The 19,702-nt window shown below is 47.5% G+C and overlaps 1 protein-coding gene and 2 long non-coding RNA genes across 6 annotated transcripts in view, besides 6 other annotated features; 1 reads left to right on the top strand and 2 right to left on the bottom strand.

The window, feature by feature from the left end:
- The window catches only part of NQO1-DT (NQO1 divergent transcript), a 17,192-nt gene extending 14,816 nt beyond the window's left edge, over positions 1–2,376 (bottom strand). The window contains exon 1 of the long non-coding RNA NR_186363.1: positions 1,928–2,376. This is a non-coding gene — a long non-coding RNA (NQO1 divergent transcript). The remainder of the gene's footprint in view (positions 1–1,927) is intronic.
- Positions 1,074–2,067: an enhancer, noted in NCBI's record as "NANOG-H3K27ac-H3K4me1 hESC enhancer chr16:69760939-69761932 (GRCh37/hg19 assembly coordinates)". NCBI's record gives its function as "activates a minimal SCP1, AML or CMV promoter by ChIP-STARR-seq in naive and primed H9 embryonic stem cells {active_cell/tissue: H9 hESC(naive and primed)}" and the evidence as "EXISTENCE:reporter gene assay evidence [ECO:0000049][PMID:30033119]".
- Positions 1,074–3,060: a biological region, named in NCBI's record as "BRD4-independent group 4 enhancer GRCh37_chr16:69760025-69761224".
- Positions 1,782–2,981: an enhancer, noted in NCBI's record as "BRD4-independent group 4 enhancer chr16:69760025-69761224 (GRCh37/hg19 assembly coordinates)". NCBI's record gives its function as "activates an origin of replication core promoter dependent on BRD2, P300/CBP, MED14 and CDK7 cofactors, and independent of BRD4, by STARR-seq in HCT116 cells {active_cell/tissue: HCT116}" and the evidence as "EXISTENCE:reporter gene assay evidence [ECO:0000049][PMID:35650434]".
- Positions 2,068–3,060: an enhancer, noted in NCBI's record as "NANOG-H3K27ac-H3K4me1 hESC enhancer chr16:69759946-69760938 (GRCh37/hg19 assembly coordinates)". NCBI's record gives its function as "activates a minimal SCP1, AML or CMV promoter by ChIP-STARR-seq in naive and primed H9 embryonic stem cells {active_cell/tissue: H9 hESC(naive and primed)}" and the evidence as "EXISTENCE:reporter gene assay evidence [ECO:0000049][PMID:30033119]".
- Positions 2,276–2,535: an enhancer, noted in NCBI's record as "active region_11044". NCBI's record gives its function as "activates an Ori minimal core promoter by ATAC-STARR-seq in GM12878 lymphoblastoid cells {active_cell/tissue: GM12878}" and the evidence as "EXISTENCE:reporter gene assay evidence [ECO:0000049][PMID:35858748]".
- NQO1 (NAD(P)H quinone dehydrogenase 1) lies at positions 2,543–19,702 on the top strand. 4 transcript variants are annotated; one of them, NM_000903.3, is made up of 6 exons: positions 2,543–2,670; positions 10,569–10,733; positions 10,850–10,980; positions 14,026–14,139; positions 15,974–16,075; positions 17,822–19,702. In NM_000903.3, the coding sequence occupies exons 1-6, from the start codon at positions 2,664–2,666 to the stop codon at positions 18,125–18,127; spliced, it is 825 nt and encodes a 274-aa protein (NP_000894.1). In that variant the 5' UTR covers positions 2,543–2,663; the 3' UTR covers positions 18,128–19,702. The 4 variants fall into 4 exon arrangements, with proteins under 4 accessions (NP_000894.1, NP_001020605.1, NP_001020604.1 ...); NM_001025434.2 differs by lacking the exon at positions 14,026–14,139; NM_001025433.2 differs by lacking the exon at positions 15,974–16,075.
- Positions 9,274–9,455: a silencer, noted in NCBI's record as "fragment chr16:69753551-69753732 (GRCh37/hg19 assembly coordinates)". NCBI's record gives its function as "represses an EF-1alpha promoter that drives an FKBP-Casp9 reporter gene in an ReSE screen in K562 erythroleukemia cells {active_cell/tissue: K562}" and the evidence as "EXISTENCE:reporter gene assay evidence [ECO:0000049][PMID:32094911]".
- Positions 18,520–19,229, bottom strand: NQO1-AS1 (NQO1 antisense RNA 1). Its single transcript, NR_198990.1, has 2 exons — positions 19,002–19,229; positions 18,520–18,866 (listed from the first exon to the last, which is right to left on the bottom strand). It is a non-coding gene; the product is annotated as an NQO1 antisense RNA 1 (long non-coding RNA).

Genomic DNA, 19,702 nt, shown 5'->3' with positions numbered 1-19,702 from the left:
CATAGTGAGACCCTATCTCTACCAAAAAAATAAAAAAAAATTAGCCAGGCACGGTGGCATGCACCTGTCATCTCAGCTACTCAGGAGGCTGGGGCAGGAGGATTGCTTGACTCCAGAAGGTCGAGGCTGCAGTGAACTATCATCATGCCCCTGAGCCCCTAAATCCCAAATGATAGGAGTGTCCATCTTATTCATTGTGGGCTTCTCAGACCACTCCTGATGGTTTATGCTAATGAGATGACTTGGGATGGGCCCCTATATAGTTCATGTTAACAAGATGACTGAGGATGGGAACTGGCCATGCTGGAAACCAACGACCGAACACGACACTTGAGCTTTGTGGCTTTGAGCCCCACCTCTGGATGGGTCAGGGAGACTGGTGATTGAGAAAACAATCTCACTAGAAGAGTGAGAGATAGAATAGCCAGCACACTGCGGCCTCGATCTGAACCAGCTCAGGTCTTTCCAAACACTAGTGACATGTGGCTATCTAAATTTAATTAAAGCCAGGCGCAGTGGCACATGCCTGTAATCCTAGCACTTTGGGAGGCCGAGGTGGGCAGATCACCTGAGGTCAGGAGTTTGAGACCAGCCTGGCTAACATGGTGAAACTCATCTCTACGAATAATACAAAAAGTGGCTGACTGTGGTGGTGCATGCCCGTAGTCCTAGCTACTCAGGAAGCTGAGGCACAAGAATTGCTTAAACCCAGGAGATGGAGATTGCAGTGAGCCAAGATCCTGCCACTGCACTCCAGCCTGGGCGACACAGTGAAACCCCGCCTCAAAAAATAAATTTTTAAAAAATTAATTTAATTACAATTAAAACTTCACTTCCTCAGTCCACTGGCCACTTTTTTTTTTTTAATTTCCATTTTTTTTCTTTTATTGAGTCCACCACTGCGGCCTTGAATTCCTGGGCTCAAGCGATCTTTTTGCCTCAGATCCTGAGTAGCTGGGACACAGGCGCCTGCCACCACGCCTGGCTGCTGGCCACATTTCCAGTGCTCAATAGCTACTTGAAGCTTGTGGCTACCTTACTTGGGCAGCACAGATAGGGAAAGTTCTATTGGACAGGGCTGCCTACCTAGCCCTTTTTTAAAACGTCCTTTTATACTATTTTGTCAGATGGGGTCTCACTTTGTTGCTCAGGCTTTTCTCAAACTCTTGGGCTCAAGTGATCCTCCTGCCTCAGCCTCCCAAAGTAATTTGTAAATACGTGTAAATAATATAGTCCTCTCTTGTTGCATCAAAATGAATGCAAAAATGTCACGATGGGGCCGGGCGCGGTGGCTCATGCCTGTAATCCCAGCACTTCGGGAGGCCGAGGCGGTAGGATCACCTGAGGTCGGGAGTTGGAAACCAGTTTTCTGGTGCCTCCTTAACTTTTGCACTGGAGGGACAACGGAAGGGCCCTGTGTCATCCTCACCTCCCCCATCTGTGATTCTTCTGATGGTTAATTACCACTTTAAAGCTCTAGTTCTTTTTCCTTCACCTACTGAGAGTATATCTCCTTCTTTACAGTAACTTTTACTTTATAGAGTTTTTTTTGAGACGGAGTCTCACTTCGTCACCCAGGCGGGAGTGCAGTGGCACGATCTCGACCCACTGCAACCTCCGCCTTCCGGGTTCAAGCGATTCTCCTGCCTCAGCCTCCCGAGTAGCTGGGACTTACAGGCGCCCGCCATCACGCCCAGCTAATTTTTCAGTACAGACGGGGCTTCACCAGGTTGGCCAGGCTGGTCTCGAACTCCTGACCTCAGGTGATCCACCCACCTCGGCCTCCCATATTGCTGGGATTACAGGCGTGAGCCACCGCGCCTGGTCCCGTTTTGGCTATTCTTTAATATGCTTCCCTATAACTGCTATCTCCACACCAGCCTTGCCTTAGCTCATGGGAAACAAAACCAATTAGTTCCCCCATTACCTGCCTTGAGGAGCAGGGGTGGTGCAGTGGCATGCACCCAGGGAAGTGTGTTGTATGGGCCCCCAAGTGCAGAATCTGAATCTTGCAAAGGAAGAAACAAATTCGTCTCCACGGAGCATGTCTCCCCAGGACTCTCAGCCTTCCAAATCCGCAGTCACAGTGACTCAGCAGAATCTGAGCCTAGGGCACCACAGTAATCCGCATCCGGCTCTTTTTCTGCTCCATTTCGTGCCAAGGCTAAAAGGGCATGCCCACTTGATCCCTGGACTCTCTTGGGACGACTTCCACCCTGCATCCTCTTGCACCTCAGGGCACAGTGCGCAGATGGGCTTGCCTTAGCACCCCCAGCCAGATTTTTGAGGCCTCTGTCACACACACCCCTACAATCCCCTCCCCCAGCCCCGAGAGACTTTTCTTGACTTCCACCAGTTGCTCCGGCGGGTGAGAGTGGAGAGGCCCCTCCTTCATCCCCCAGGCTCCCTCCCTTCCTGGAGCTGCAGCCTCAGCATCCTCCGCCCAGCACCCCAGGATTCAGGCGTTGGGTCCCGCCCTTGTAGGCTGTCCACCTCAAACGGGCCGGACAGGATATATAAGAGAGAATGCACCGTGCACTACACACGCGACTCCCACAAGGTTGCAGCCGGAGCCGCCCAGCTCACCGAGAGCCTAGTTCCGGCCAGGGTCGCCCCGGCAACCACGAGCCCAGCCAATCAGCGCCCCGGACTGCACCAGAGCCATGGTCGGTGAGTGCTGCAAAGGGCGGGGTGCTTGGCGGTCGTCTCTCGAGCACTGGTGCCTGTGGAGGAGGTTGTAGGGGCTTGGCCCTGAATTTTGTTCCTTGACTCAAAACCCACAAAGGGAAGAGATTAGGGACCTGGGATGAGCCTTGATCGGACTCCGGGAGAAGGAGAGCTTCTGTTTGTATCCGGTGTCGCGGATCCTTCCTCACTCCACCCCACGAACTCTAGTGGGCATTTAGGAGAAACTTGACCTTGGAAGCAGAAATTCCCTCCAAAACTGTGGTCAGAAACTGGCCGTCAGAGGCCAAATCAGGCTTACGGTCACAGCCCATACCTCTTTTGGTCTATAGTATCTAAAACACTTTGAAATAAGTTGCTAACATTAAAATGGGTGATTTCACTTAAAAATGTGGATTCCGAGCTTCTGAAGAAAATGAGAATATCTGGCGATTGGTGGACAGGAGTGGAGGAAACTGATGCCTTTGGTTTGACGGAGACCAGAACCGGCTCCAGGCTGCCAGGCACAGGTTTTGTTTTGTTTTGTTTTGTTTTGTTTTGTTTGAGACGGAGTTTTGCTCTTGTCGCCCAGGCTGTAGTGCAATGGCGCTATCTCAGCTCAGCGAAACTTCCGCCTCCCGGGTTCAAGCGATTCTCCCATCTCAGCCTCCCGAGTAGCTGGGATTACAGGAGTGCGCCATCATGCGCGGCTAATTTTTATATTTTTAGTACAGACGGGTTTCGCCAAGTTGGCCAGCGCGGTCTTGAACTCCTGACCTCAGGTGATCCACCCACCTCAGCCTCCCCAAGTGCTGAGATTACTGACGTGAGCCACCGTGCCTGGCCTTGGGAGGCATTTTCCATTGAGGCCCTTGGATTAGGCAAACCTGATCAGATCGTACTGGATCCGTTTCTAGTATTGGGTCCACTTCAGTGATAGAGCCTTCCCACTCGGCCATCGACCCTAGGGGAACTCAGAGGTCACCCCAGCTCCACCCAAGGCATAAATAACCAGCTGAGACAACTGCAGGGATTGAGAGCTGTTTCCCAAATAATCTCACTCTGAGATTGGACAGTACTAAGATTTAGAAAGCTGTTGCCTCATCTGGGGCAGAATCCTGTGTTTTGTAATTTCCTTCCCTGTGGACCTGGTCCTGCCTCTAAAAATGCGCCTGTACACAAAGAAGCCCATCTTGGTCAAAGTGAGTGGAGGAACAGACTGCCCTTGCAGTTGACAAACTGAAATTATCAGGATCTCTGAGAAAGGGACTAAGCTGGGGATTGGTAGCCCAGCATGAGTTACTGGCAGAGACAGCAGGGAATAGATTCTGACAGCTGAGAGGCTTGCCGCATACACGGTGGTTGCTGTTTCCCTTGTATTTCATTCTTCAGCGTCGAGGCACTGGCACCCTCTCCTCCAATACTAGGGCAGGAACTATTTCCTGACTTTTCAATCTTACAGAATGTTCTGTATTTACGTGTAGCTTAAACACAAAAAAGGGCGGTGGTAATGAGGTGAAAAGGGAAGACTTGGATCTTGTATAATTAGTTTTAGCTGTACCCAGCTAACCAAATCTTGAGGTTAACTAAAGCATCCAGGTTTTTTGTTTGCAACTAATAGATGCATCTGATTTGCACTCATGTTCCCTGGAGCACTCAAGTGAGAAGAGAAGGCAGAAGGAGAATGCATGAAACTGATACAAAGGCTTATCTTTATCATACTTCTTTTTTTCTTTTTGAGACAGGGTCTTGCTTTGTTGCCCAGGCTGGAGTGCAGTGGCATGATCAGGGCTCACTTCAGCCTTGACCTCCTGGGCTCAAGTGATTGTCCCATCTTTGCCCCCGAGTAGCTGGGACTACAGGTGTGTGCCACCACACCCAGCTAATTTTTTTTGGTCAGAGCAGAAGAACTTGAAACCCAGCTAATTAAAAAAAAAAAAAATTTTGGCTGGGAGTGGTGGCTCATTCCTGTAATCCCAGCACTTTTGGGAGGCTGAGGCGGGAGGACTGCTTGAGGCCAGGAGTTCAAGACCAAGATTCAGCTCAAATGGCAAGCTCCTCTGAGGGCCTTTCCGAATGGGCCAGCCCTGAGGTCCTGAAGTTTTCCTCTGTTGAACTTTTTGAGATGGAGTCTCACTCACTCTGTTGCCCAGGCTGTAGTGCAGTGGCGTGATCTTGGCTCATTGCAATCTCCACTTCCCAGGTTCAAACGATTCTTGTGCTGCAGCCTCCCAAGTAGCTGGGATTACAGGCGCCCACCACCACGCCCAGCTAATTGTGTATTTTTAGTAGAGACGGGGTTTCACCATGTTGGCCAGGCTGGTCTCTAGCTCCTGACCTCAAGTAATCCACCCGCCTCGGTCTCCCAAAGTGCTACGATTACAGGCATGAGCCACCACACCCAGCCTTCTGTTGAACTTTGTCCCTTACCTCTCCTAACACACTAATGCCATTGTACCCTGAAGAGGTTATCCGTGTGTGCATCTTGTGGCCTCTCTCAGGGTAAACTCTAATAGTCTAACTCCTCCCAGGTCATGTTGCTCAGCTAGTTAAGTGGCAGGAAGGGAAAATGAACCCTCCAGGGCCCAGAAAACTTTTAAATTGCCTATTCACAAGCATCTTTTTGTTTGTTTGTTTGAGACAGAGGCTTGCTCTGTTGCGCAGGCTGGAGTGCAATGGTGCGATCTCGGCTCATTGCAACCTCCGCCTCCTGGATTCAAGCAATTCTCCTGCCTCAGCCTCCCGATTAGCTGGGATTACAGGCACCTGCCACTACACCTGGTTAATTTTTTTTTGTATTTTTAGTAGAGACGGGGTTTCACCATGTTAACCAGGCTGGTCTCTAACTCCTGACATGAGGTGATCTGCCCGCCTCAGCCTCCCAAAGTGCTGAGATTACAGGTGTGAGCCACCGCGACCCACCCACAACCTTCTTTTGATCATTTTTCTTTTGAGTTGTTTTGGGGATCTACCTATTCCAGGTACTGCACTTTGATGGTTATATTTGTTGCAAATATATTATTCCTGCTTGTGTGTTGCCTTACATGAAAAATTGTAAAGTCACAGGCCTGCTTATAGCTATTAGAGTCTGAGCTCCTTGAAAGAGCAAGAGATGGATATCCTGATTTGCTCATTTTCTGAGAAGTGCCTTGACTGTCTTACTACTTAGAAAATGCTTGTTAACATTGATGAGAAGTCAATAAAATAAAAACTGTTGGCTGGGCGCTGTGGCTCACGCCTGTAATCCCAGCAGTTTGGGAGGCCGAGACAGGCGGATCACGAGGTCAGGAAATCGAGACCATCCTGGCTAACACGGTGAAACCCCGTCTCTACTAAAAATACAATTAGCCGGGCGTGGCGGCGAGCGCCTGTAATCCCAGCTACTCTGGAGGCTGAGGCAGGAGAATGGCGTGAACCTGGGAGGCGGAGCTTGCAGTGAGCCGAGATCGCGCCACTGCACTCCAGCCTGGGCGACAGAGCGAAACTCTGTCTCAAAAAAACAAACAAACAAAAACTGTCAGAGCGGCGATCAGTAAACATTGATAAGACTAATGGCAAGGTAAGTTACAAAGAAAATGCCTGTTAGAGCTGAATATGCTCACTTCCCTCCCAATCATGTTAAATCCATGGGTTAAAGAGGTAGGAATTTGTTGAGGCAGCCTCAGAGCTTCCTTTTCCTTTTTCCAAGCTATCCCAAGCAAGTCAATCACTTCCAGCGCATTGAAATCATCACCAGACACCTATTCCACTGAGTCTTAGTTTTAAGAGTCCAAAACCCTAGGACCAAGTTTGGAAATCCCCTGGTTTGGCATATTGGGCCCTGAAAGTTACACTTCGCTGAATTTAGCCCAAGAGGCACTTGCCTTGCTAGATGTGGTCAATAATAAAAGCAGGAAGAGAGCTTAAGGTTTAAATGTGCCTTTCTAGTTATTTTAGTTATTTCTAGTTATTCAGATGGTGCAAAAAAGTTGCAGATGCCGGCTGGGCGCGGTGGCTCACGCCTGTAATCCCAGCACTTTGGGAGGCCAAGGCAGGTGGGTCATGAGGTTAGGACATCGAGACCATCCTGGCTAACATGGTGTCTCTACTAAAACAAAAAATACAAAAAATTAGCCGGGCGTGGTGGCACGCGCCTGTAATCCCAGCTATTCGGAGGCTGAGGAAGGAGAATCGCTTGAACCCGGGAGGCAGAAGTTGCTGTAAGCCGAGATGGCGCCACTGCACTCCAGCCTGGGTGACAGAGCAAGACTCCATCTCCCCCGCCCCCACCCCCACCCTGCCAAAAAAGTTGCAGATGCCTTCTCTCCCAGCTCCACCCACTGTTCATGGTAGGGTATGAAGTAGCAGCGCACATTATCAGGAGCAACTGTGGGGGTAAGCGTCCTTTCTCTGGCAATTCGCTCTATGCCCTTGTACGCTGTTGTTTGTATTTCTCACTGTTTGTAAGTCTCACTGTCGCCCAGGCTGGAGTACAGTGGTGTGATCACGGCTCACTGCAACCTCCACCTCCCTGGCTCAAATGATCTTCCCACCTCAGCTTCCTAAGTAGCTGGGACTACAGGCACACACCACTACGCTCAGCTAATTTTTTTTTTTTTTTTTTTTTTGGTAGAAACGGGGTTTCTCCATGTTAGCCAGGCTGGTCTCAAACTCCTGGGCTCAAGCAAGCTGCCTGCCTCGGCTTCCCAAAGTGCTGGGATTACAGGTGTGAGCCACCACGCCCAGCCACTCTCTGTGTTTTTAAATTATTCCAGCTTCACCACTTAATGACTACACACTTGGGTAACTTGCTTCTCTCCTGTGCCTCAGTTTTCTCATCTGTAACATGGGGCTACTCATGGTATTGACCTCATAGGGTGTGTCTCAGTCTATTTTGTGCTGCCATACATAATACTTGGGACTAGGTAGTTAATAAAAAAGAGAAATTGATTTCTCACAGTTCTGGAAGCTGGGAAGTCGAAGATCAAGGTGCTGGCAGGTTTGGCTGTCTGGTGAGAGCTGCATTTGGAGGAATGCTGCGTCCTTACATAGACGGTGGGAGGTAGAAGGTGGAAGGGCAGGTGAGCCCCGTGCTGGGCGAAGCCTCTTTTATGAGGGCCTTAATCCCACTCATGAGGAAGGAGACCCCCTCGCCTAATCACCTATCACAGGCCCCATCTGTTAATCCTCTCACATTGGCAGCACCTGAATTTTGGAGGGGGACACGTTTAAAACATAGCAGGTTGTCCTGACAAAGGAAGAAAGTGCAGGCCGGGCGTGGTTGCTCACACCTATAATCCCAACATTGTAGGAGGCTGAGGCAGGCAAAATTGCCCCAGCCTGGGCAACACGGCTCCAAATTTGACCAGCCTGGGCAACATGGCAAATCCCTGTCTCTACAAAAAAAAAAAAAAAATTAGGTGTGGTGGTGCACACCTGTAGTATCAGCTACTCAGGAGGCTGAGGTGGGAGGATAGCTTGAGCCTGAGAGGTCAAGGCTGCAGTGACCTGAGATCATGCCACTGCATTCCAGCCTGGGCAACAGATCGAGACCCTGTCTCAGAAAGAGAAAAAGAAAAAAAAGGAATGCAAAGCACTTAGGGCAGTGCCTAGCACTAAGGATCCACTAAATACTGTTCTTGCAAATTGAAGCATGCTGCCTCTGACAACCTTGTTAATATAAAAGAGGCCCATTTCCCTTCTACCTGTACCTCTTTGCCATTTCTTATAAAGGAAGCTGAGCTGTTAATAGTTCAATGTGATTGGCCTGGCACGGTGGCTCACACCTGTAATCCTAGCTACTGGGGATGCTGAGGCAGGAGAATCGCTTGAACCTGAGAGGCGGAGGTTGCAGTGAGCCAAGTTCATGCCACTGCACTCCAGCCTGGGCAACAGAGTGAGACTGTCAAAAAAAAAAAAAAGTTTAATGTGATCACTGCACATTTTTCCCCCTCATACCAAGGTGCTGCAAGTCTACATACAAATATATGTCATTTCTTTTTTTCTTTTTTTTTTGTATTTTCTTTTTTCTTCCTTCCCTTCCCTCTCTCCCTTCCTCTCACTTCTTTCATTTTAAATAAAAATGGGTTCATATTCACTTGCTTTTTTATCAGTTAATAATATAGCATGGATATCTTTTTGAGTCACTACATATAGTTAATTCATTTTAATTTTTTTAATTTTTAAAATTTGTTTATTTGAGACAGGGTCTCCCTCTGTCACCCAGGCTGGAGTGCAGTGCGGCGATCACGGATCACTGCAGCCTCAACCTCCTGGGTTCAAGTGATCCTTCCATCTCTCAGCCTCCTGAGTAGTTGGGACTACAGGCATACACCACCATGCCCAGCTAATTTTTGTACGTTTTGTAGAGAAGGGATTTCGCTTTTGTCATGTTGCCCAGGCTGGTCTTGAACTCCTGGGCTCAAGCAATGTTCCCGCCTTGGCCTCCCAAAGTGCTGGAATTAGAAGCGTGAGCAACCGTACCTGGTCAACAGTCTCTAAAAATTTTTTTTTATGACAAGGTGTCACTATGCTGCCCATGCTGGTCTCCATCTCCTGGCCTCAAGGGATCTTGCCGCCTCAGCCTTCCAAGTAGCTGGATTACAGGCTCCAGCCACTGTGCCCAGCCAGTTTAACTCATTCTTTTTTATATATTTTTTACTTTTATCTTAATTTATTTATTTTTCTGAGACAGGGTCTTACTCTGTCACCCAGGCTGGAGTGCAGTGGCAAGATCTCAGCTCACTGCAACCTCTGCTTCCTGGGTTCAAGCGATTCTCCTGCCTCAGGCTCCCGAATAGCTGGGATTACAGGTGCCCGCTACCACACCCAGCTAATTTTTGTATTTTTGTAGAGACAGGGTTTCACCATGTTGGCCAGGATGGTCTTGATCTCTTGACCTCGTGACCTGCCCGCCTCAGCCTCCCAAAGTGCTGGGATTACAGGCTCGAACCACCGTGCCTGGCCAACTCATTCTTGTTAACAGCAAAATATCCTGTAGTGTGGATGTACCCATAATTTCTTAAAATGTTCCCCATAGACAATCAGGTTATATCTAATTTTTGCCAGTGAAAAGCATGGTGTAATACACATCTTTGCTCTTATAGCCTGAAGCTTTTAGTCTGTAGAACAGATTCCCCCAAATTGGAGAGCGAGATAAAAGATTTATGTGTCTTTAAAGTTTCAAGAGATTCTGCCTCATTACTTTCCCTAAAGGTTGAGGCAGTTCTTATCCCCACCAGTAAGGTGCCAATTTTTCTGTTGGTACAATCTTAATAACCCTGGGTGTTATTTGTTTTACATTTTGTGGGTAAATGTAAACTCACGGTAAATGTAAACACAGTACCCATGTAAACGAATGGGTAAATGTCTCATTTTAATTTTGCTTTTCCTGACAGGTCACGCAGAGCATCTTTTTTTTTTTTTGAGACGGAGTCTCCCATTGTCACCCAGGCTGGAGTGCAATGGTGCAATCTTGGCTCACTGCAACCTCCCCCTCCCGAGTTCAAGTGATTCTCCTGCCTCAGCCTCCCAAGTAGCTGGGATTACAGGTGCCTGCCACCACACCCAGCTAATTTTTGTATTTTTAGTAGAGACAGGGTTTCACCATGTTGGCCAGGCTGGTCTCAAACTCCTGACCTCAGGTGATCTGCCCACCTTGGCCTCCCAAAGTGCTGGGATTACAGTTATGAGCCACAGAGCCCAGTTGTCAACATTATTTATTAAATCAGCCACTGATTTAAATGCTTCCTTTAATCTTCAGTGCTTTTAAGGGGAAAATACATTTCTGGCTACAGGAGATGGAATGCAATAACCTAATGTCAAACAAAGCCGCCCCCTCCTTTACAGACTGCAACTCCCCTGTAGCTGAAGGTTTGCTGGTTGGTAATGGGTTTTCCGTGTGTGCTTTGTGTGTGTCTCTGTAGGCAGAAGAGCACTGATCGTACTGGCTCACTCAGAGAGGACGTCCTTCAACTATGCCATGAAGGAGGCTGCTGCAGCGGCTTTGAAGAAGAAAGGATGGGAGGTGGTGGAGTCGGACCTCTATGCCATGAACTTCAATCCCATCATTTCCAGAAAGGACATCACAGGTAGGAGGAGTTCCTCCTCCCCTCTTTAATTAGTTCTTTGCGGATCTCCTTGCCTGTGGGTCCTCTGGCCCAGCTTTGGCCCCTCTGGCCCCAGCCTCTCTTTTTCTTCTCTGCAGGTAAACTGAAGGACCCTGCGAACTTTCAGTATCCTGCCGAGTCTGTTCTGGCTTATAAAGAAGGCCATCTGAGCCCAGATATTGTGGCTGAACAAAAGAAGCTGGAAGCCGCAGACCTTGTGATATTCCAGGTATGGGGGGACATCGGAAGGGGTGTCAGGGACATTTGCGTGCTTATTGTCCTAGACATGTACCTAATTAGCTATGAGATCTTAAACAGTTACCCACTTTACTGCATTCTCTGCAAATAAGGGTGATTACTTTAAAGGTGCAGTATTACATGGATTTCACAGATATTGGGAATCTGGCTGTATTACTGTTGCATGTGTAAATGCAACTGCAAGGCCAGGCACGGTGGCTCACGCCTGTAATCCCAGCACTTTGGGAGGCCAAGGCAGGTGAATCACAAGGTCAAGAGACCAAGACCATCCTGACCAACATGGTGAAACCCTGTCTTTACTAAAAGTACAAAAATTAGCTGGGCGTGGTGGCATGTGCCTGTAGTCCCAGCTACTCTGGAGGCTGAGGCAGGAGAATCACTTGAACCCGGGAGGTGGAGGTTGAAGTGAACCAAGATTGCGCCACTGCACCCCATCCTGGTGACATGGCGACAGAGCGAGATTCTGTCTCAAAAAAAAAAAAAAAAGAAAGAAAGAAATGCAGCTGCAGAGATGATGTACAGTCCTTGAGCTTGCTTTCTTCCAGGTACTTAGTCTCCCCTTCAGTTAGCGATTCCTTCAGTTAGCGATTCCTTCAGTTAGCGAATCCTGCGGTTAGCGATTCCTGTTGGACTCTCTCAAAATTTGCAGTTCTCCTCCTTTCTCCATAAGAATCCCAAATACTTTGTAGAATAATCCATGAGACATTGACTTCTCTGCCATTGTAGCCTGCCAGCTGAAGGGGGCTTTGAAACCCTGCTGAATGTGTTCCTGCAGCAAACCACGGCCTTTCTTCTTCGGGAAGCTGCCTTACCGTTTAGCAGACAATGCTGGGATTGTGCGTGCATCTCGTCAGTGATCTTTCCTATAAATGTGACTGTACTCAATGACTTTGCTTTTACAATTCCAGCCAGTCTTTTGATATTGAACATAGAATGTATATGATCCTGGAAACCACGAGGAGGGTGGTACAGGCTGTGTTTTTTTTTTCTCTCTCTCTCTCTTTTTTTTTTTTAGTTATTCAATCAGCTACAAAACATCCAATCCTTGAAGTCCTTTATTTTACCCACAGGCCTGTTGCTAAGAATCAAAGCCACATGCCACTAGCCAGTACCCCAAAGGACGGCTTTAAAAAAAAATTAAATTGGAGACAAGGTCTCACGGTCACCCAGGATGGAGTGCAGTGGCATGATCTCTGCTCACTGCTGCCTCAACCTCCTGGGCTCAAATGATCCTCCCACCTCAGTCTCCCGAATAGCTGGGACTATCAGTGCACACCACCATGCCCTGCTAATTTTTTAATTTTTTTGTACAAATAGGGTCTCACCATGTTGCCCAGGCTGGTCTCAAACTCTTGGGCTCAAGTGATCTGCCTGCCTGGACCTCCCAAAAGGCTGGGATTATAGGCATGTGCCTTTCATATCTTTAAATCATGAATCAAGGATAAGAAAACCTCCTGGTATAGTCCTTACTCTGCTTTTATTAGGATAAGAGGTCAGACAAGACTTTCTCATGGGAAGTCCCTGATGAACCTTAGTCACCCTAATTATTATTTATTATAATTTTTATTTTTTAACATTTTATTTATTTATTTATTTGTTTTTGAGATGGAGTCTCGCTCTGTTGCCCAGGCTGGAGTGCAATGGTGCAATCTCGGCTCACTGCAACCTCCGCCTCCCGGGTTCAAGCCATTTTCCTGCCTCAGCCTCCCAAGTAGCTGGGACTACAGGCATGCACCACCACGCTTGACTTTTTGTATTTTTAGTAGAAACAGGGTTTCCCCATGTTGGCCAGGCTGGTCTCAAATTCCTGACCTCAAGTGATCCACCCACCTTGGCCTCCAAAAGTGCTAGAATTAAAGGCATGAGCAACTGCACCTAGCCACGTTGATGATGATGATGATTATTATTATTATTATTATTATTATTTAGAGATGGAGTCTTGCTCTGTCACCCAGGCTGGAATACAGTGGTGATCACAGCTCCCTGCAGCCTCCAACTCCTGGGCTCAAGCAATCCTCCTGCCTCAGCCTCTCATATAGCTGGGACTAGAGATGTGCACCATCACATCAGGCTAATTTTTAAATTTTTTTGTAGAGACAAAGTCTCACTTTGTTGCCCAGGCTGGTCTCAAACTCCTGGGCTCAAGTGGTCCTCCCACCTTGGCCTCCCAAAATACTGGGATTATAGGCATGAGCAACCACACTCAGCCATCACACTGATTATTAGTTTGCATTTTTGAGTGATTTTGTTTATTCTAAGTGATATGATTTTTCATCCACGATAACAAGGGACAGTCATAAAATGAAGAAGGCCTACATTTTTTTCCACGATGGGGTCTCACTCTGTCACCCAGGCTGGAGTGCAGTGGCACGATCTCGGCTCACTGTAACCTCCACCTCCCGGGTTCAAGTGATTCTCCTGCCTCAACAGCCCGAGTAGCTAGGACTACAGGCGTGCGCCACCACGCCCGGTTGATTTTGGTATTTTTAGTAGAGATGAGGTTTCACCATGTTGGCCAGGCTGGTCTCAAACTCATGCCCTCAAGTGATCCACCCGCCTTGGCCTCCCAAAGGGCTGGGATTACAGGCTTGAGCCACTGCGCCTGGCCAACAGTCATATTGTTGATACCACACCTACTAAAGCAAACTCTTGGGAAAATACTGATTGAAGCAACAGCATGAAGCAAACCTTGTTTGCAATCCTTGCTATTTAGACTTTGCTGCCAAATGTGATTTCATACAAACAAGTTTCATATCAACAAGTCTTCTGTGTATCTAGCTTTACTCGGACCCACTCAATATTTGCATTTTCAGGGAAAAAGAAGACTGTCAAGTTGGCTGACCAAGGACAATAATGATCTCTTTCCTTAAAGTGCTAACTCCCCAGGAGGAATGGGAAAGGTGTGAAGAGGGGCTTCCCACACAGTGCCATCATGGGGAGCGGCTCAGCACTCCGAGCCACCTTCTGGGCTTGGGGAGCCCCTGGTCTTACCTCAATGATGTCTTCTGTCCCACAGTTCCCCCTGCAGTGGTTTGGAGTCCCTGCCATTCTGAAAGGCTGGTTTGAGCGAGTGTTCATAGGAGAGTTTGCTTACACTTACGCTGCCATGTATGACAAAGGACCCTTCCGGGTAGGTGGATGGTTCTGAATGCTCTGACAGCCAGCTTCTGGGTGGTCTGTCCTGATGCAGGGGTGTTTGTTTGTTTGTTTGTTTGAGATGGAGCTTCCCTCTTGTTGCCCAGGCTGGAGTGCAGTGGCGGGATCTCGGCTCACTGCAACCTCCACCTCCTGAGTTCAAGCGATTCTCCTGCCTCAGCCTCCCGAGTAGCTGGGATTACAGGCATATGCCACCATGCCCGGCTAATTTTGTATTTCTAGTAGAGACGGGGTTTCTCCATGTTGGTCAGGCTGGTCTTGAACTCCTGACCTCAGGTGATCTACCCGCCTCAGCCTCCCAAAGTGCTGTGATTACCGGTGTGAGCCACTGTGCCCGGCTCTGATGCAGGGTTTTGAGCACAATTAGATCCTAAGCCTAGGCTCCAGGTCCTTCGGGAGAGACGCATGATCAAGTTTTTACAGATGGAATGACATGATGTTTGGGATTTGTTTTAAAATGCTCCAGAGGCCGGGCGCAGTGGCTCACGCCTGTAATTTCAGCACTTTGGGAGGCCGAGGCAGGCAGATCACCTGAGGTCAGGAGTTTGAGACCAGTCTGGCCAACATGGCGAAACCCCGTCTCTACCAAAAATACAAAAATTAGCTGGGTGTGGTGGCGGGCATCTACAATCCCAGCTACTCAGGAGGCTGAGCCAGGAGAATTGCTTGAAACCCAGGAGGTGGAGGTTACAGTGAGCCAAGATCGCGCCACTGCACTCCAGCCTGGGCAACAAAGCAAGACTCCATCTTAAAAAATAAAAGGCCAAGCACGGTGGCTCATACCTGTAATCCCAGCACTTTGGGAGGCCGAGGCAGGCGGATCACAAGGTCAGGAGATCAAGACTATCCTGCCTAACACGGCGAAACCCCGTCTCTACTAAAAATACAAAAAAACTTAGCCGGGTGCGGTGGCACGTGCCTGTAGTCCCAGGTACTCGGGAGGCTGAGGCAAGATAGTTGCTTGAACCCGGGAGGCAGAGGTTGCAGTGAGCCGAGATCGCACCACTGCACTCCAGGCTGGGTGACAGAGCGAGCCTCCATATCAAAAACAAAAACAAAAAAAAAATTAGCCGGATGTGGTGGTGGGCACCTGTAATCCCAACTATTTGGGAGGCTGAGGCAGGAGAATCACTTGAACCCGGGAGACAGTTTGCAGTTGGTTGAGATGGTGCTACTGCACCCCAGCCTGGGCAACAGAGCCAGACTCTGTCTCACAGGAAAAAAAAAATGAAATAATAAAATAAAATAAAACGCTCCAGAGAAAAAGGGGGTCATGGGTCGAGCTAAAACTAGAATAGCAGAATACTGAGAGGTGAAGGTGAGTGATAGATGCAGCACTATTTTCTCATTTACATGTGTTAAAAATTTCCATAATAAAAACAAAAGAAGGCCTGTCTTCATTTTTTGGAGGCCCAAATCCTGCACAGGGAACCCTTCGAGACCTTCCAGATGAAAGAGCTTGTCCTACGCCATGCCTAGCCCGTGGGAGGATGGATAAGAACAACCAATAACTCCACCTAGGCAGCCAGCAGCCAGCACTGATTTTGGATATGGTGACAGCCTCGTCCTAAGCCACATGTGGGGGTTTGGAATCCTTCATTTGCCCCAGGCCACCGGTCTGTAGACCATCTAGGCTGGCACTCCTGCAGAGTCATATTATGTAGCTCAGGGGAGCCAAAGTATGAAGTAATATAAACAGCAAATAGGACAGACTTGTGTGTTCTTTTCCCTGGAGCTGTTTCATTAACTTCTTGTCACCAAGGGGATGTGGAGGGAAGTGAAGTTTGTTATTGCTTTTTCTTTTGCAGAGTAAGAAGGCAGTGCTTTCCATCACCACTGGTGGCAGTGGCTCCATGTACTCTCTGCAAGGGATCCACGGGGACATGAATGTCATTCTCTGGCCAATTCAGGTACCTCATTTTCTTTTCTTTTCTTTTTTTTCTTTGAGACGGAGTCTCACTCTGTCATCTAGGCTGGAGTGCAGTGACACCATCTTAGTTCACTACAAGCTCCGCCCGCTGGGTTCGAGCAATTCTCCTGCCTCAGCCTACTGACAGGCACCCGCCACCACACTCGGCTAATTTTTGTATTTTTTAGTAGAGACGGGGTCTTGCCATGTTAGCCAGGCTGGTTTCAAACACTTGACCTCAAATGATTCTCCTGCCTCAGCCTCCCAAAGTGCTGTGATTACAGGCGTGAGCCACTGCACCTGGCCAGGTACCTCATTTTCAACGAACCTTCAGGGGAATTCATTCATTGAGCCTTCGTGGGGTTCAAAACCTCAAGATAGCATCTGAAAATAGATCTTGAGTTGTGAAGATGAAAGCATGGTCATAATTCAGAATGATGGGAGCCTCCTTTAAGAACCTGCCTGCCTTCCCAGGTGCCTGTGTGTGAACACACCTGCGTGTGCATGTGTTCAAACAGCATTCTGTCCCAGCCAAGGACTAGTGTGAATCACTACTCTTGATTTGTATAGCCGTGGGCCCTGGTCTCACCAGATGACTGACATCTCTCTCCAGCCTTCCTGTCCTTCTCCAGGTTGCTGATACAGTCCCATAGACTATTAGAGCCCAAGACAATTTAAGAAATGATTTACTGGGAGGCTGAGGCAGAAGGATCGCTTGAGCCCAGGACTTTGAGACCAGCCTGGGCAACATATAAGACCTCATCTCTACAAAAAAAAAAAACAAAATTAGCTGGGTGTAGTCATACACCTGTGGTCCCAGCTACTTGGGAGTCTAAAGTGAGAGACCCAGGAGTTCGAGGCTGCAATGAGCTATGATCACACCACTGCATGCCAGCCTGGGATACAGGGCGAGACCCTGTTTCGAAGAAAAAGGAAATAATTTAGTCCAGCCAGTTTATACATGGATAAAACTGAAGCCTGGGGTGGGCTTATTGGTGTTACCAAACCCTCAAGATAATTTCTATAAAGAGGGAGGTTGGAGAGAAGAGCCAGTGAGTGGCCACTTATGAAAATCATTTATCAAGACTCATCTGGGCCTGTAATCCCAGCACTTTGGGAGACTGAGGCAGGCGGATCACTTGAGGTCAGGAGTTCGAGACCAGCCTGGTCAACACAGTGAAACCCTGTCTCTACTAAAGATACAAAAATTATCTGGGCATGGTGGCGCATGCCTGTAATCCCAGCTACTCGGGAGGCTGAGGCAGGAGAACCGCTTGAACCCAGGAAGTGGAAGCCGCAATGAGCCGAGATCGTGCCATGGCACTCCAGCCTGGACGACCGAGCGAGACTCTGCCTCAAAAAAAAAAAAAAAAAGAAAAAGAAAAAAAGGACTCATCTAGTTATATGGAGAGGCAGAGAAATGCACCCACGCAGGTCTTGGTGAGTCACCTGCCAAGAAACTGAGACTCCCTAAAGTAACAGAACTTCCAGCCTTCTTGGCAAAGGATCCAGGTTGGCACAGTTTCAAGGTTTATGCATTTAAAGAAGAACACACCTGAGAAGGCTAAAATTGGTAACGGCTAGGTAGAGGGTAAGAGAGAGACGCTAGCTCTGAACTGATTCTCTAGTGTGCCTGAGGCCTCCTTATCAGAGTGTCTTACTGAGAAGCCCAGACCAACTTCTGTTGTTTATAGTACAACTGCATGGAATTGGTTGACTTACCTCTCTGTGCTTTCTGTATCCTCAGAGTGGCATTCTGCATTTCTGTGGCTTCCAAGTCTTAGAACCTCAACTGACATATAGCATTGGGCACACTCCAGCAGACGCCCGAATTCAAATCCTGGAAGGATGGAAGAAACGCCTGGAGAATATTTGGGATGAGACACCACTGTATTTTGCTCCAAGCAGCCTCTTTGACCTAAACTTCCAGGCAGGATTCTTAATGAAAAAAGAGGTACAGGATGAGGAGAAAAACAAGAAATTTGGCCTTTCTGTGGGCCATCACTTGGGCAAGTCCATCCCAACTGACAACCAGATCAAAGCTAGAAAATGAGATTCCTTAGCCTGGATTTCCTTCTAACATGTTATCAAATCTGGGTATCTTTCCAGGCTTCCCTGACTTGCTTTAGTTTTTAAGATTTGTGTTTTTCTTTTTCCACAAGGAATAAATGAGAGGGAATCGACTGTATTCGTGCATTTTTGGATCATTTTTAACTGATTCTTATGATTACTATCATGGCATATAACCAAAATCCGACTGGGCTCAAGAGGCCACTTAGGGAAAGATGTAGAAAGATGCTAGAAAAATGTTCTTTAAAGGCATCTACACAATTTAATTCCTCTTTTTAGGGCTAAAGTTTTAGGGTACAGTTTGGCTAGGTATCATTCAACTCTCCAATGTTCTATTAATCACCTCTCTGTAGTTTATGGCAGAAGGGAATTGCTCAGAGAAGGAAAAGACTGAATCTACCTGCCCTAAGGGACTTAACTTGTTTGGTAGTTAGCCATCTAATGCTTGTTTATGATATTTCTTGCTTTCAATTACAAAGCAGTTACTAATATGCCTAGCACAAGTACCACTCTTGGTCAGCTTTTGTTGTTTATATACAGTACACAGATACCTTGAAAGGAAGAGCTAATAAATCTCTTCTTTGCTGCAGTCATCTACTTTTTTTTTAATTAAAAAAAATTTTTTTTTGAAGCAGTCTTGCTCTGTTACCCAGGCTGGAGTGCAGTGGTGTGATCTCGGCTCACTGCAACCTCTGCCTCCCAGGTTCCAGCAATTCTCCTGCCTCAGCCTCCCTAGTAGCTGGGATGACAGGCGCCTGCCATCATGCCTGACTAATTTTTGTATTTTTAGTAGAGACGGCGTTTCACCATGTTGGCCAGGCTGGTCTCAAACTCCTGACCTCAGGTGATCCGCCTACCTCAGCCTCCCAAAGTGCTGGGATTACAGGCGTGATCCACCACACCTGGCCCTTGCAATCTTCTACTTTAAGGTTTGCAGAGATAAACCAATAAATCCACACCGTACATCTGCAATATGAATTCAAGAAAGGAAATAGTACCTTCAATACTTAAAAATAGTCTTCCACAAAAAATACTTTATTTCTGATCTATACAAATTTTCAGAAGGTTATTTTCTTTATCATTGCTAAACTGATGACTTACTATGGGATGGGGTCCAGTCCCATGACCTTGGGGTACAATTGTAAACCTAGAGTTTTATCAACTTTGGTGAACAGTTTTGGCATAATAGTCAATTTCTACTTCTGGAAGTCATCTCATTCCACTGTTGGTATTATATAATTCAAGGAGAATATGATAAAACACTGCCCTCTTGTGGTGCATTGAAAGAAGAGATGAGAAATGATGAAAAGGTTGCCTGAAAAATGGGAGACAGCCTCTTACTTGCCAAGAAAATGAAGGGATTGGACCGAGCTGGAAAACCTCCTTTACCAGATGCTGACTGGCACTGGTGGTTTTTGCTCTCGACAGTATCCACAATAGCTGACGGCTGGGTGTTTCAGTTTGAAAATATTTTGTTGCCTTCATCTTCACTGCAATTTTGTGTAAATTTCTCAAAGATCTGAATTAAATAAATAAAATTCATTTCTACAGACCCACA

The sequence above is a fragment of the Homo sapiens genome, chromosome 16, assembly GCF_000001405.40.
Source record: "Homo sapiens chromosome 16, GRCh38.p14 Primary Assembly".
Lineage (NCBI taxonomy): Eukaryota > Metazoa > Chordata > Mammalia > Primates > Hominidae > Homo > Homo sapiens.
Note: the sequence above shows the minus strand (reverse complement) of the source record. Positions and strands in the feature narration are given on the sequence as shown.

What these genes read in the sequence shown, in the direction of transcription:
- NQO1 (NM_000903.3), top strand. An exon ending in ATGACAAAGGACCCTTCCGG is followed by an intron (nt 14,140 to 15,973) that starts GTAGGTGGATGG and finishes TTTCTTTTGCAG; the next exon opens with AGTAAGAAGGCAGTGCTTTC. An exon ending in TCATTCTCTGGCCAATTCAG is followed by an intron (nt 16,076 to 17,821) that starts GTACCTCATTTT and finishes CTGTATCCTCAG; the next exon opens with AGTGGCATTCTGCATTTCTG.